Here is a 16,730-nt window from a genome sequence, read left to right as displayed (position 1 = left end):
AACTCAGGTTCCAGATCTGTCAAATCCCAGACATCTAAATACCATCATGTAGGCATTTAGTAATGATGGTTGTTATATATTTCACTAATGGTACTTTACAGTTTACAAAGAGCTTTTTTATATATACCTTAATACTTACGACTTGGAGATTAAAGTCATTTTTATTATATAGATGGTAAAATAGGTTTAATAAACCTCGATGATTTCGTGAGAGCCACAGCGCTATTAAGAAGAGATAGGATATGAATTGAGATCTGCCTCAGTGTGCTTTCCTTTTGTGACATGACTAGTTGGGAAAAATATTTAAGACCTAAACTTAATTTAAAATTCAAATAAAACTTCCCATTAGAATGTTATTTCTTACTAAACTTACTACTATATGTTTATGTAGCCAGAGACAAAAATTAATGACATGTTATTTCTCAAGACTCTGACTGTAGTATTCTCTGTGCCAGGTCACTATTCCAGAACCAGTTTGCACAGCATTAGTTAGTGAGGCATGTGCATGCTTAGCAGTTCTGGGTGCCTGTATCACGTGTTCAGAGTTTTATAGAAAAGTGTTTCATGGTAACTGCTTCTTCTGTACTCTGTTTCCTAGCTATCTTTTGGTATTACTTTTCATTTCTACATTCATTTTCACTGTAGCCACTTTCTTTCTTATTGGAATATTTAAATTGCATATGTCCTGCCTTTAGCCTTTATTCCTCTCTATTAAGTTATAAGTGCTAGAATTGAGGCATCTTTCATCAACGTCATTTTTACCTCATTACTTTACTCCTCATTATCCCTTCACCTGATTAAATTTTAATTTTCTAGCACCTGCCTTAAGCTAATTAAATTTCTTAAAGTCTTTCTTTAAAACATGGTTGCCGTAAGACAGATGACATGAAATTTCCTATAGGTGAATATATTCACCACCCTATTGCAGCATTATTTCTACCCTTCTTTTTTTTTTTATCAGAGTAACTTGTGTATCACTTGCTCTTTCTTCCACTCTTGCCTGTCTACCTCATGTCTGAACCTGAGCTGAAACCAGCCTCCTTCCAAAATAGTCTTCCTCTAGTGTCAGATTCTCTCTTAAGGAACATTTAGCTGAAGACGACTTCTATTGTCTTATTATTGAGTTATCAAAAAGGATTGTACTGTCCATAACTGTAGTTGACCCACCACAACTGAGAGTGAATATACAGAGAACCCATGCAGAAAACTGTTAACATAGGAGGCTTGAGGCTACCATCCTTAGAAAGGCAAGTTGGCCCTTGGCTGGCATCTGGGAACTTGGATTTCTGGAGATCCCCCCATTCCCTAATAAGAATGACTCACTGGCCTAAGCTGTGGCCTAACCACACAGCCAATGTGGTTTATGCTGAACACCTGCTTTCCTTCTGGGAATCTGGAATTTTGACATGTGACAGGAAGATGGTACCTGTATGATCAGTTGCCGATAAAAAACCTGGGTACTAAGTCTCTCATGAGCTTTCCTAGTAGACAACATTTCACACAAATTGTCACAGGTTGCTGGAGGTATTCAGCCTGTCTTGTATAAGGACAACATTTCACACAAGTTGTTACAGGTGTCTGGAGGTATTAAGTGTGTCCTGTGTGAGAGGGCTTTTGGAAACTTTGTACCTGTGTCTGGTTTCTGGCAGACTTCACCCCATGTGTCTTTTTCCTTTGTGGTGTGTGCTTTGAGTCCTGTGCCATAATCACAGCCATGAGTGTGACTATACCCGTGAATGTAAATCATCAAACTTGGGTTTGTCTTGGGGTCCTCTGACACAGAACCCTATTGATTCTTCTTCTCATTTTACACTACAGAAATATTGAACTGCTTGTAACATACTGTGCTCCTTTGTCCCTTTGTGGTGTGAAAAAGCCTTAGCACATGCTTTTTCCCGTGCCTAGAATGTGATGTTCCCCTCCTGCTCCATCACCTTTTCTTCCTTCAAACCATGCTTAGGAATTGCTTTCTCTCTAAAGGTTTCCCTGCCAAGCTAGACGTTATTAGTTCCCCTTCCATATACTCCCGTACTCCCTATGCATGTCTAATTTAGTTAATATTCTTTAATTGTTTGATACCATGAGCTTATTAAGGGCAGGCTCCATATCTTATTGCCTTTGTTACCCAAGTGTTAAGTAGCATGCCTGGCAAATAGTAAGTGATCTTCAGTAATTATCAGTTTTACCAGTTTTGCTCTTTAATTTGCCTTCATTTTATACTTGCTCATTCTCTACTGTGTTCCAGTGCTAGACCACTGATTTGTAGAAGTGTCACTGGATTTCATTTTTTATGCAAACATAAAAGAATTTGAGGGAAAAAAAGAATTTTGAATTCAAGAGGTAATTAGAATTTTTTATCTCACACTTTTCTGTTTTTGGACTTCAGCTTGATCTAGTCCAGTCACATGTTCTCACCATTTAAAAAAAGTATAACTACATTATAAATGAGTCAGAATGATAGAATCTAAGCCACTATGGGTGTCACTGTTAATTCAGATATTGTTAATTAAGGGTAAGGCTAATTTGAAGAGCAAAGTTTCAAAATACAAAACAGAATAGTCTTTTTCTTAGAGTCTTCAAAGTATATAATACTTGCAATTTTGTTAATTTTTAAAAAATTTCTTTTTCTAAGGATTTGGAAGAACAACATAACAAAGATAAACTAAACCTGGAAGAGGATAAAAATCAGCTTCAACAAGAGCTAGAAAACCTAAAGGAAGTACTGGAAGACAAGTTGAATACAGCCAATCAAGAGGCAAGAATTCTTTAGACCTGTTGCCTATGTTATAGATTTTAATAATAATAACTTATTCTGGTGACATTGTATAGGTAGGTAAGTCTCAGTAAAGGTAACATATCTAGAATAAAAATAATTTAAAAACTTTAATTGGTGTTGAATTTTTCATGACACTCTGATTATGTTCCACCAGGTAAAATTTACTGTCAAAAACATTAAACTAAGGTGCTGTTGTGGGGAGAAGCAAAACAGAATATCACCACATAGGAAAAGAACAAGAGAGAGTTCTCTACCCTTTTGCCAAAAAATAGCTTATTATTCTCTATACTGCCTCTTTTTCTACAATTTCAACAGAAACTGAGGATGGTAGCTAGAATCAGTAGGCTTAATTTGAATTACAGTCTGTGACATTGCCCTTTTAAGACTAGATATAAATGAAAGAGGAGAAAAGAGGGAAGTTAGAGCTCTTCTTCAATCTCATATCGGCAAAGTTCCAGGTGGGTTAAGGATTGGAATATAATATGAAAATCATGGATATGAATATAAATAAAATATGAAAACAAAAATGACAAACCTGAGGACAGAGAAGGCTGTTTGAACATGATATCAAAGTTGTGAATTGAAACATGGAATATTTGTACAGTTAAAGCTAAAACTTCTTTATATCAAAACACACCATAAGCAAAATTTAAAAAGAGGAAAAACTGGGAGAGATGAAGAGACTGACAAATTGACCAATGAAGAGTTCATGTCTTTAACACTTTTAAGAGTATTTACAAAACAATAAGAAAAATACAGACACCCAGATTATCTTTTTACAAGCTAAAAATAAGCAGGAAAAAATAATTTGTATAATTTAAGAACTGGAAATGAAATCAATGAGATGCCATTCCATCACCATAAAATTAACAATGATAAAAAAATTGAGACCATGCAGTGTTAATAACGATAAAGAAATAAGCACTCAGAAACTGCTGATGGGGATTCAAAATTGTATAATTTTCCTCGAAAGGGATTTATCAGCACATATGAAAGCCTTAAAGACAGGCATGTCCTTTAACTCAACAGTTTCATTTTTTTGTGTATTTAACCTAAGCAGATAACTACGGATTGTTGACAAAATTTCAGCACTGTTTATAGTAGAAGAAGTATAGAAAAACTTAAATTTTCTCTGAAGTCTGCTGCCTGGAAGAAAGGGAGTCTTCTCCCAGTTCACACAAGTTTTGTTTGCTTCTCTTTCCATGTTCTGGGGCTGCTTCCACACTGAGGGGTATTGCCTTTTTCCTGCTTAGAGGCACACATGGCCTAGCAGCTGCCTTGGTACAATACAAGGTCAAGAAAGTGAAGGCATTTAGGGTCCTTCTAGGAGTTAAATACTTTCATTCTGAGATGTTAAAGAGATTTTATTCTTAATTGCTAGTAAGTATATACGAAGTTTTTCTGTAAGTGACTCATTCATTTATTTAATAAATATGGAATGCCTATTAGGTACCAAAGCACTGTTACACACTGCGGTTTCAGTGATAAGTCAGTCAGACATGGTCCCTACTACTATGGACAGACAGACACAAAAACAAGTAAACACAAGTCTGAGGCATATTACAAAGGGTGGTAAGTAATTAACAAGGGCTCGTCAAAATAATAAATTTAGGAAAGCTTATGCAAACGCTCTGAGGCATGAGAAATTTCTAGGAATTGTAAGAATACCAGTGGTATTAGTCTGTTTCATGCTGCTGATAAAGACATACCTAAGACTGGTTAATTTACAAAAGAAAGAGGTTTAATTGGACTCACAGTTCCACATGGCTAGGGAGGCCTCACGAACATGGTGGAAGACAAGGAGGAGCAAGTCACATCTTACATGGATGGCAGCAGGCAAAGAGAGAGCTTGTGCAGAGAAACTCCCATTTTTTAAAAACCATCAGATCTCATGAGACTCATTCACTATCACAAGAACAGCGCAGGAAAGACCCACCCCATAATTCAGTCACCTCCTACTGGGTTCCTCCCTCAACATATGGGAATTGTGGGAGTTACAATTCAAGATGAGATTTGGGTGGGGACACAGCCAAACCATATCACCAGAAAAAACGGAGTGTGATAGCAACTATAATAATATTTATTTAGTGCTTACTGAGTCCCAGACTTTGTTTTATATAGCCTCTTTATACTGTTCTCTCCTTTAATCCTCACAGCAACCCTGTGCAGTAGGTACCAGTTACTAAAGCATAGAAAAGTTAAAATAACTTGCCCAAGTCAGCACATAATAAGTAGGTAAAGCCAGAATTCCATTTCAGGTAGTGTGCTTTCAGAACTCAATTCTTAACCCTACTCTTTCTCTCAATTAGTATATAAAGACCAAGAAGAAGGGATGCCATGCTGAGGTTGGAGATTTCAGCAGGGGCTATGTTGTGGAGGTCTTGTAAGCCCCATGAAAGATTTTGAAAGTTATCCTAAGGGCAGTGAAAAACAGTTGAAAGATGATAAGTATAAATATGTGGATGCTTGTGCAGTGGATGGGGCTTATGCTCGTGTCCATATTTGTAATTTATAAAAAACTCACTGTAGTGTTGCAAGGAGAGTGGATTAGAGAAGAACAAATAGAGGTAGACGGATATTTCAGGGAGGAGGTTTCTACTTACTGTATTCCCTCAGTTTGTACATTAATATGGAGAATCTGAGTATTTATTTCTATTGCAAATGACAGAAATCCTACCTCAAACTAGCCTAAAGAAAAAAAAATTTATTGACTCATGTGACTGTAAAGTCCAAGGATAATGTTAGCATCAGGCAAGACTAGATTCAGAACTGAAATTGTGACAATGGAACCCAGCTTTTCTTTTTCTCTTAAATTGGGTTTGTTCTTGTGTTGACTTCATGCTTCAATCACATATTCCCTGAGGTATACGTGGAGCTGGCAAAAAACCTTTTCTGGGAGCTCCTTTTAAAGTCCTGAGATCACTGTGACTAGATAAGCTTAAACCATGTGCCTGCCCCTGAACCAATCCACATACAAACAAAATGAGATGACCTTATTGGTTTACGTTTCAATGAAGCACTTCATTCTGGAGTTTAAGTTGAGCGCTTACTAAGACCACATGGACCGATAGAGAAGGCGAGTAGATGCCCCAAATGCCATAAGGAGATTTTGTTATTGGGAGACAATAGGTGTTTTCCCCATGTATCCATTTTTATTGTATTTAAGAAAACAAACTGATCAGTTATGTTCAACACTTATTTGCTTTTTATATTTTATTACATTTAACTTTGCAGAAGTTTGAAGTTTTTGCCTATTTAAATATTCTATCTCTAGATTTGTAATTGCCTTAATAGACCTTCTCTTTGAATTCTTTACATTGTTACTAGAATACTGTTTTTTTTTTTTCTTGAGGCAGAGTCTTGCTCTGTTGCCAGGCTGGAATGCAGTGGCACAATCTCGCTCACTGCAACCTCTGCCTCCCAGGTGCAAGCAATTCCCCTGCCTCAGCCTCTCAGGTAGCTGGGATTACAGTCGCGCGCCACCACACCCGGCTACTTTTTGTATTTTTAGTAGAGACGGGGTTTCGCCATGTTGGCCAGGCTGGTCTTGAACTCCTGACCTCAGGTGATCAGCCTGCCTCGGCCTCCCAAAGTGCTGGGATTACAGGCATAAGCCACCGCGCCCAGCCCTAGAATACTATTCTTTATAATTTATTTAATGGAAGAATTTTACCAAACTTTTAAAAAACAGGTAATTCTTTTGCTGTGAAAATATTTCAGAGCACAGAAAAGATGTGTAGCTCCCCTAATTATCTTATGAGATTAGCATTCCTTTAGAGACACCACCAAGATAAAATACTACCACCACCAGTATTGCAGAGCATATACCTGCATAGAGAGGGGACAGGAAGGCCGTGCACTTGGGGAGGGAATTGTGGGTCAGAGAAGGATTGAAGGAGAATTTTTGTATTTTTTTTTTGTAATGTCTGTATTTACAAGGAAAAATAGGTATTATTTTTAAATTACCAATTTCAACTTTTGTAGAAATTTCATAGGCTTGGCCATTTTATAAGAATGCGGTTTTTACTTTATAGCATTGTCCTAAATAATTTGAAATATTTCATGTATGTATTTTAGTATTCATAACTTTATGGTAGGGATATGCTTAATCAGCAATTATCTATTAGCTTCTAATTTCGAGTGTATAAATTCAACTCTTAAAGATTTAATGAGAAATTTTGTATGGAAACACAGGAATCATAACTTACTCTAGTTTATAATACATTTACCAGCTTATCAATATTGACCTAAATTTATCCCCTTTGCAAATAGCAGGAGATATGGACTCAAATGAAATATGTGATTAAATTTTAAAGGATGGTTTTTAAGATATTTTTATCTAAAATTTTGTTTTACTCTTTTATATAATCTTTATCTTGCTTCAGCTTCTTATAGGTATTTTATTATATGGTGGAACTAGGAATTCTCTTTGTTAAACAAAGGTATATCTATTCCTTTACATGGTTGTCATGAAAAAAGAAGATCTTAAATGTGAAAGTCTTTTCAAAACACAGCAGAAGAAAGCTGTCATGGTTATTTGAGTGCTTTTTCCAAATTAATCAGGAAATCATCCATTCAGTAAAATTACAACTAAATAAAAAACTTTAGGAAGAAATTGTAAGACTATTTTGCTATTCTATTACAATGAAATATATTAAAAGTACTCTATTTACTTACAGATTGGCCACCTCCAAGATATGGTAAGGAAAAGTGAACAAGGTCTTGGCTCTGCAGAAGGACTTATTGCTAGTCTTCAGGACTCCCAGGAAAGGCTTCAGAATGAGCTTGACTTGACTAAAGACAGCCTAAAGGAGACCAAGGATGCTCTATTAAATGTGGAGGTAATTTCATAATTCTACTGCAATCTAAACAGCGGCAAAATAAAAATAGAATTTAGCCATTTGACCTAGAGCTATTTAAACAGCACATTGTATATAATTAGTATATTAGTTCTTAGAACTACCATAACAAAGTACTACAAACTGGGGAATTTAAAACAACAGAAATTTATTCTCTCATAGCTCTGGAGGCTAGAAGTCCAACATCAAGGTGTTGGCACAGCTATGTTCCTTCCTAAACTCTAAGGGAAGATCCGTCCTTGTATTTTCCAGCTTCTGGTAGCACCAGGCATTCTTGGCATTCGGCAACATAATTTCCATCTCTGCCTATCTTCACATCTTAAAAGGATACCAGGCATATTGGAACAAGGGCTCATTCTACTCCAGTTTGACATCATCTTAACTTAATACATCTGTACTGACTGTATTTCCAAATAAAGTCACATTCTGAGGTATTGGGAGGGTAGGACTTCGGTATATCTTTTTGGGGACCCAGTTCAACCGATAACAATTGGAACGTGCAATTCTTTTACTAGTAAGAGGTAGAACTCTCATATACAGCAACTAAGTGCTTCTCTGTGTCTGCAGATTTCAGAAAGACTCTGCCTTTTTTCTTCCACTCTTATGAAGCACAGCAAAGATTTAGATTGTCTTAGATAGTAGAGAAAAAGAATCCATAAAACTGGGTGTATAGTACCCAGGAAGTTCTTAATCTTTTCCTTCAGAGAGATGGTTTAGAGTATAGGCTCTGAAGTCAGGTTGGTTGTATGTAAATTCTGAATCCACCACATAGTGTGTAGCTTTGTGCAAAGCCTCACCTTCCACATCTGCACAATGAAGGAGAGGTGGGGGGTAATAACACTCTTCACAGCACTGTTGTAATAATTAAATGAGATGAACCATTTATAGCACAGTGCTTAGCAAAATAGTAAACACTCAGTAAATACTGCCTTTTACTAATATTATTTCAGATTTTCTTTTTTAGTTCAGAATTGGTGACATTTCAAAAGCATATAAACAAGGACACTTTAGTGAATTTACCTTGTGTGTGGGGCATACATAATTCTATTTATATTTTATCTATGATATATTCTGTGTGCATTGAATATTTACCTTCCATTTTGAATTATGTGACAATAAATTACTTCATTTTCCTCGAATCATTTCCTTATGTTTACCTTTCTCCGGTGGCTGTGTGATATGACAGTGTTAATATATAACAAGAAATAATTGGAATTTAGAGCTAGTATAATATACAACTTGATATATTTAGTTTCTGTGATGCCAAATATATTGACTATAATCTCGATGGTAGCATTCTGTGGTGTGAAGCTGAACTCGATGACCAAACTATATTAAGAGGTGTTTTTTCCATTGTCAACAAATAAAAGGAAAATGATATTTTAAGGTAATACAAATATATTTAAAAGTAGACAGTTGAAATATTTCTAATGAATGTTAATTGAATATAGGTTGTGTTTATATGGTATCATGGAAGTTCTGTCTTGCCTTGGTGCGCACCCAGTTCCTGACTTTAAGGTATTTTATCCTGGCTGCCTTTCCCCCGGCTGTCCTGGCACTGAGTATTGGGCTTACTGATTCAGTTTCATTTCTTTCAGGTCTTTTTTCATATTTACATCGTACTTCTGTCCAGTAGTAGAAAATAATAAACACTTTAAGCAAAACTCTATCAATTCTTCATTTTCTGTTCTGCTGGAGAATTTTAACTGACAAAATATAGATGCTGCATCCTGGTTTACCACAACTCTGCGTAAGCTCCTTAAGACCAAGTGTTTTTTTGGTACCTCTTTTCCTTTAACCTACCCCAATAATGTCTAATGATGTACTTTGCATTGAGGAAAAGAAATACATTTTAAGCAGTCTACTCCGTTTAATGTTGCCTTTGGCGGAAAATTAAAGAATTACTAGAGGCAAAACACTTAGTGAAAAGAACAGTTGGCTAAGATGGCTGCCTTCAATTCTCAATACTTACTGCTTAGTAGCCAGGCCAACAATGTAGAATGGCAATTTCAACATTGGCTTGTTTTTTTCTCATTAATCTGGGTATACCCTTCAAAAACTGCCACACCACATGTCATTAGCAAGTGGATGATCTAGAAAGGGTCATTGTGATAACAGGAAGATAGACCATCATCTGCTCCTCTTCTGCCTTGTGTCCCAAGAGCAGCTGCTCTGCTGGCAGGGGCCGATGGTTGCCACTGTTGTCCAAACAGGTCACCTCTATCCCCAGGCTCCACAGAGCCACTTGATTCATGCTAATCTACAGGAATTGTGTATATATTGCAGCATATTGCCATAACAATGAACACACGGACCACTAGTTTGCAGTTACATAATAAAAACAGTAGCCTAAATTCTGCATAATTATTTTTATGGTGTCAGGTACAGCTATATACTTAAGTTTTGAGCAAGTAACATACTTTTGAATATAAGTGAATTTGAATAACATATCTGTCTATGTAATGGGTGTACAGGTAAAGGTAATTGGATAATCAGTCTACCGTTAGATACCTAATATATGGAAAGTGTAATTAAGATGATTAATGCTGACTTTAAACTATTTAAATAATTTGTGATATAAGCCTTAATAAAATACAGTTTAGACAAGAACATGTAAAATATAAAATTTGTTTTACATATTTTATTTTCAGAAAATCTTGAGTCATTTTCACAGATAGCATTATCAAGTATTGGGCTGTAAGAATTTAAAATTAAAAGTTTTAATACAAGCACTTTACTTATTTAAAATAACCAGCAGTGTTTGTTTTTGAAGTTTAGTCTTCATTGAAAAGTTTTTATTCTTCAGGGTGAGCTAGAACAAGAAAGGCAACAGCATGAAGAAACAATTGCTGCCATGAAAGAAGAAGAGAAGCTCAAAGTGGACAAAATGGCCCATGACTTAGAAATTAAGTGGACTGAAAATCTTAGGTACATTTTTTATTCTGTAATCTTATCAATAAAGACATGCAAGAAAGTTTTTCTCTTGTATGACTCACATTATCCTATTGTTAAAGACATAGTAGCAGTATTTTAAATTAAAATTTCCTGTGATTAGAGACAGAGAAATTGGATTTATTTTCCGTTTGAATTCAGATTTACTTTTTGCATTTCCTTGAATATAAAATAGGCAGTAAACTAACCTAAAGTCAGAAGACTTATTTGTTCTGGTACCTATTCTGCTGTTAATAAATTGATAAATGAGTGATATTGGGGTAAGTTACCAATTTACTTTACAGCCCTTAAGTAAATAATCTGCTTTCCTCAGCATCATAGACTTTTGAAGAGGATTAATTAAGCGCTTAAAAAACCTGTAGACTCTATTACAGTCAGTGAAAGGAATAATTCTCTTTACAAAGTAAATGCAGTTGTTTTATTTTAGACAAGAGTGTTCTAAACTTCGTGAAGAGTTAAGGCTTCAACATGAAGAGGATAAGAAGTCAGCAATGTCTCAACTTTTGCAGTTGAAAGATCGAGAGAAAAATGCAGCAAGAGATTCATGGCAGAAGAAAGTAGAAGATCTCTTAAACCAGGTAATTAATAATGTGTACATGATGAAGTTTCATCTCCCTTGACATTCTCTGGCTAGGCAAATATTGTAAAACTCTGTTAATTCACTGAATTTTGTTATTTTTCATGGGACAAACTTAAAACTTCTAAAAATACATAAAACCAGGAAGATGTATTTATAAACTTATAAAACATTTTGCTAAATCATTGTTATATATGCAGTCTGAATACCGAGAAGAATTTATTATGATTTTTTAGTTTAATATTTGACCTGAATATATTTAAGATTTTAAATGGGAAAGTTACCTATGTTTTGAAAGCATAAAATCTTTTTTCATGTCCTTAGATACTGTTTGGGCAACAGAGGGTAGAATTTATTATATGTATCATGATTACCTAAAACCACTTACCAAAAATGAACAGCTTACTTTTCTCACCAAAGGAGCGTTGCCTGCTATCCTTCAAAATGCTTTAAGCCCCTTAGAGTATAACATAAACAAAAGGTGGTAGTATTCCTAAATCTGTGTTCTTATGTTATGCTTGCTTATTTCCATAACATTTGTAACTGTAATTAAAAGAATTTGCACATTTTCACTCATTTACACAACTTTTAAATTTATTAATTCTTAACATTCTTCCGCAGAGCAAGTCATTAAATAGGATTAACTGCATGAATCACCAGTTGATAAGCAAGTGCAGAACTTAGACAAGAAGCAGCTCAATAATGTAGTTCCAGAAACCTACCATTATCTTTCTATTTGTGAGCATGATGAATTTCAAAATAAATAGGATAGACTTTTTGTAAGATCATTTGTTACATAGCTACATACATGCAGTGTCTTTCAAGAATACTTGGGGCCTGCCAATTTGTGTCTAGTATCTCATAATTATAATGTTACTCTGAAAAGAGAGAATACATATGTATGTTTACATTTGTGTATATATGAGCTTTTGTCAGTCACTTGAAACTCAGACAAAAAAAAGAACAAGGGAACAACTTTTACTAGAATTTGGACACCACATTAGCATTGCTTATGATAGACTTATTTTACATTCCTTTTAGGGACCCACAAGGACAGATTTTACTGGGTAGGGTGCTACTGATCCCCTATTGTTAGACGAGTAGTAAGATTCTGCCCGTAGAAAGATTAAATTACTTTGATTATTTAATAGAGATATATTTTTTCAACCAGAAAGTATTGAACATAGACAGTTTTCGGCTGGGTTTGCACTGTAAAGTGGCCCACCGCTTCTCCTGCCGATTTTCTATCAAATTGTTTTATTTGTTATTCCTTTAATCTCTTGTATTAGTTTGTCAGATGCCATCCATACATCTCTGAATTTTGTTTTCTTCTTTTTTTCTTTGGGTGTCTATTCTGCAGTTCTTTCCTGAGAGGACCTAATGCTTTGCATCTTGTGGTTCTGTATATCATAAAATAATGTATTACATATTAGCTCCAGTTTTTGCCAGCTTTACAGAATTTCTAAATCAATTTTCAAAGCAGATTAACCATAAATATCAAGATAACCGGGAATTAATTGGTTCCAAAGGTAAAACTATTCTGTGATGCTCCATGCCATCAGACCATTTCCAAGATTATAATATCTTCCTTTTTCCACACTTCTGAATTGTTTAGGCACACGCATTGCCATAGAGAAACTGGCAAGTAGCTGTTGCACTCCAGGATTGTCTATGCCTGAAGAAAATTAAGAAAACAAGTGCACAAAAAGATGCCCCATTAAAGTAAAAATGGGTATGATGCTATCAAGGTTTCATCCTTTCTAGGCATACTAGATGACAAAAAATTATAGTAGGACCAGTGGTTCTTTTTAAATGGAACGTCGTTATGGACAAAACCTTCCTTCTTGGCTCTGGATCTTGTTGTCTCGACTCCTTTGGATGGATTTCTAGAGCCTGTGCTCTAAAGCCCCTCTACCACCTTCTACTTGCCTGCCCCTGCTGCTAAGCCCTGTTCCCCATAACCTCCACCCCCAGCCCTACCCCTAGGACCCTTTCACTGCCTTCACTCCTACTGGTCTCACTCATTTCCTTTAGCCCCGCAAGGCCAGCAGCATTCAGCACATAAGGGAAACAGACATGGCTTGGGATTCATGATATTAAAGGAGTAAGACAGGAATAGAATTGGAGTGGCTAGGGCTTAGGCAGAGGCATATGCTATGAAAAAGTATCAGAGGATGTGCGTTTTCACATATTTTAACTATTTCTGAGTGAAAAACATGAGATTTTTATACCTTAACATACCTGAATTTCATCCTATTTAGAGGAAAGGAGTGAAATAACTTGTCTTTCCTATGAATCTCTTGAGAGTTAAATTAGATTTAAGCCGGCCATCATGGGCTGCCTATCTAAAAATGAGCATTAAAAGCATAAAATTTTCATTTTACTTGAATCAGATGTTTTTCACTTCATGGAATTTTCCAAAAGCTATTATTTTCATTCTGTGCTACGATTCAGTCAATTTTGTATCTTTTAGTTTCCTTTTAATATTTCATTGTGTTCTCTCTTTCTGTCCAATGATTACACTTTAGTCCAAGGCTAATTATGCTTCTTGGGTTGATCAGTGTATACATTTGAATTCTTTAAAGCGAAAAAACTACATTCTTATTCTTCAACTCTATCCAAGGAAAAGTGATTATATAGAGTTTTCTGTGATCATATTTTCTATTTGTGATTTTAAAATGCCATCACTTGTTCCTTTCTTTCATCTTTTTTAAGGCAGATTTTATTTTGGGTCCAATATAATGATTTACTTATTCAGCCTTAAAGCATTGGACTGAAAAATTAAGGGAGATGCACAGACCATTGAGACACAGAACTATGGAATTTTACAGTTTGAGTCTGACTCTCCATTTTGTAGATGTGAACTTTGAGACAAAGTCATTTAGCTGATTATAGCCCTGTATCTGACACAATGTTTATACTTCACAAATTTACAATCTAATAGGAAGATTTATATATAGGTACTTAAAAGTCACTGTGCAGTAGGTGACTTTAAAAATGATCCAAGCAGTTTGTACTGAGTAATGATGTGTTGGTGCTGGCTCCTACCAGCTCATCATAGCTAATTGTGCACCTCTCTTACCAGCACCACATTGGGGGACATCATGTTGATGACTTGCAGTCTCCTGTGGTAGTTGCATTTATATCACAGATATCAGCAAATGCTACAAATCGGGTCATTGCTTTTCAGAGAGCTGTTAAACATTTACCAGCATACAACTGGTCAGGAGTATAAAGTCAAGAAACAGTATAATATAGCCAGTGTGCTTGGGGAAGGTTTCATTGAGGAGGCCAGCTTTAGTGGGACTCATGAATAGGGCAAAGGATGAACACAGAGGAGTGACAAAAATATAAAGGTTTTTATTCACTTAGTAAACATTTTATTAAACATATGTGTATATTTCCCAGGCATTACGAGGAATACAGTAATAAGAAAAACAGTGTTGGGGGCAGTTTGGGTAGAGGTTATTGTGGAAAACCTTGACTTCCAAGCTTAGGAGTTTAAAGATTACTTGGTAAACTATGAGATTCTGTCAAAGGTTTGTGGAAAAGAGAATAACATGTTGAAAATTTTATTTTAGGAAGCTTAATATGACTTTTATATTGAAGTAAGAATGAAATAGAGACATTTCAATTTAAATATCTAAATTAAAGTGTTTGGAACTGAACTCTTGAATGGATACCATGTACCGCCAGCTCCCCTCAACCTCAGCCAAACTGCTCTTTCTAGAACTAGCGTCCGTTCACTGTTTACTGCTCAGCCATCTTGGACTCCTGTCTTGTACACCAGACAACTAGTTCATCAGCAGTCCCCACTGCTCTACCTTCAAAATAGATCCTGCTTCTCCCTACTACCTCTACCACCATCTGATTCCAGGACACTTGTAGTTCTTTCCTGTACTGCAACTGTTACCTTGTTTCTACTCTTTACCACCTACAGATTATTTTCTAACCAGCCAAAGTGATGCTCTTAAAATATTAAGTTGGATTATATTACTATCCTGTTTCAAGATGCCTGGTGACTACCTACCACAATTAGAATACAGTCCACACTCATGCCATAGCCTCTAGTACGCTCATGATCTGGTCTCTGGCTGCATTGCCAACATCATCTCCTGTCACTCTCTCCCTTTCTTTTTTACAGCCATGCTGGATCCTTGCAGTTCTTGGAACACACACAACAAGCTGAACCCATCTTGGGGACTTTGCACCTACCAGTCCCTCCACATGGAACCCACTTTCTAGAGATCTGCACAGCTTTTCCCTTCACTTAATCAGTTATCTACTCAAATCTTAACTCCACAAAAAGAGCTTTCTTTACTTACTTTCTCTAAAATAGCACCATCATCATTCACTAGCCTCCTATGCTTTGTTCTCCTTTGTATTCCTTCAGAACATTTACTTCTACACAGTATATATTGATTCTCTCACCTATTCACATGTAAGTTCCACGAGACCTGGACCTTTGTGGTATTCACTAGGGTATCCCCAGCACCTAAAACTGTTCCTGGCACATAGTAAGCACTTGGCAGTTGTTGAATAGAGTGAACAGAATGAGGCACAGAGACCAAAGACGTTTTCAGATACATGAAATACAAATAATTCTGCCCAATTAGGACCTGGATTAAGTTTATCTCACTGCAAGTGCAAGAGAAACTGTAAAAGGATCAATCATCTGCTTTGGTAGAAGAGAAGAAAATATTAAAGTTGACTTGGGTTTGAGCCAGACAGAAAGGAAATCATCATCTGAGACAAGGAAGTCAAGATGAGCTATTTATTTGGGGTGGGGTGTGGGTGACTGGGGAGATGAGATGGTAAGTTTTCTCTTAGATGTATTGATTTTACAATCATAGAGTATTTTAGAATTTTTCATACTCAGTAGGAAAGGGCAATGACTAGACTAAGAAACAGCATTAAAATAAATGCTCTTTATCAAGAGCAGTTGAAAAGCCAGTTTCAGTAAGGTTTGTTGTAAACTGCTTTCTGATTTTTAGACCAATGCTATCCAATATGATAGTAAGTATCCTTTCTTTTTGCTCTTTTAAATATGGTTACTGAAAAACTTTAAATTGTACATGTGGCTCACATTCATGTTTCAGTTAAAGAGCACTGATGCAGACTATCTAGATCATGAAAATATTGACTAAATTTGGCATTAGAGCTCAGTACTCATTCTGCTGTTGTTTTTGTTTTTTTTTTCCCCTGAGATGGAGTCTTGCTGTGTCACCCAGGCTGAAGTGCAGTTGTGCAATCTCAGCCCACTGTATCACTGCAACCTCCACCTCCTGGGTTGAAGTGATTCTCCAGCCTCAGCCTCCCAAGTAGCTGGGACTACAAGTGCATGTCACTGCCTGGTTAATTTTCGTATTTTTAGTAGAGACGAGGTTTCACCATGTTGGCCAGGCTGGTCTTGAACTCCTGACCTCAGGTGATCCACCTGCTTCGGCCTCCCAAAGTCCTGGGATTACAAGTGTGAGCCACTGCGCCCGGCTGCTATTCTTTTTCTTAGCTTTGAATTTTCATTATGTTAGCAAGAAATGTATTCTGTCTCTTTTAATTTTTTTTT

At 36.1% G+C, this 16,730-nt stretch overlaps 1 protein-coding gene and 1 long non-coding RNA gene across 4 annotated transcripts in view; one reads left to right on the top strand and one right to left on the bottom strand.

The window, feature by feature from the left end:
* LOC124901389 (uncharacterized) overlaps nucleotides 1-16,730 on the bottom strand; it is a 96,627-nt gene that overhangs the window by 17,478 nt on the left and 62,419 nt on the right. The gene's annotated exons all lie outside the window — the stretch shown is intronic.
* FAM184A (family with sequence similarity 184 member A) overlaps nucleotides 1-16,730 on the top strand; it is a 189,366-nt gene that overhangs the window by 135,065 nt on the left and 37,571 nt on the right. For all 3 annotated transcript variants that reach the window (NM_001288576.2, NM_001100411.3, NM_024581.6), the window contains exons 6-9: nucleotides 2,633-2,755; nucleotides 7,456-7,617; nucleotides 10,442-10,563; nucleotides 11,015-11,165. In NM_001288576.2, coding sequence (NP_001275505.1) covers nucleotides 2,633-2,755; nucleotides 7,456-7,617; nucleotides 10,442-10,563; nucleotides 11,015-11,165 — 558 coding nt within the window. The remainder of the gene's footprint in view (nucleotides 1-2,632; nucleotides 2,756-7,455; nucleotides 7,618-10,441; nucleotides 10,564-11,014; nucleotides 11,166-16,730) is intronic.

This window comes from Homo sapiens, chromosome 6, assembly GCF_000001405.40.
Source record: "Homo sapiens chromosome 6, GRCh38.p14 Primary Assembly".
NCBI lineage: Eukaryota > Metazoa > Chordata > Mammalia > Primates > Hominidae > Homo > Homo sapiens.
The sequence above is the reverse complement of the archived record's forward strand: the minus strand, read 5'-3'. Positions and strand labels throughout refer to the sequence as shown.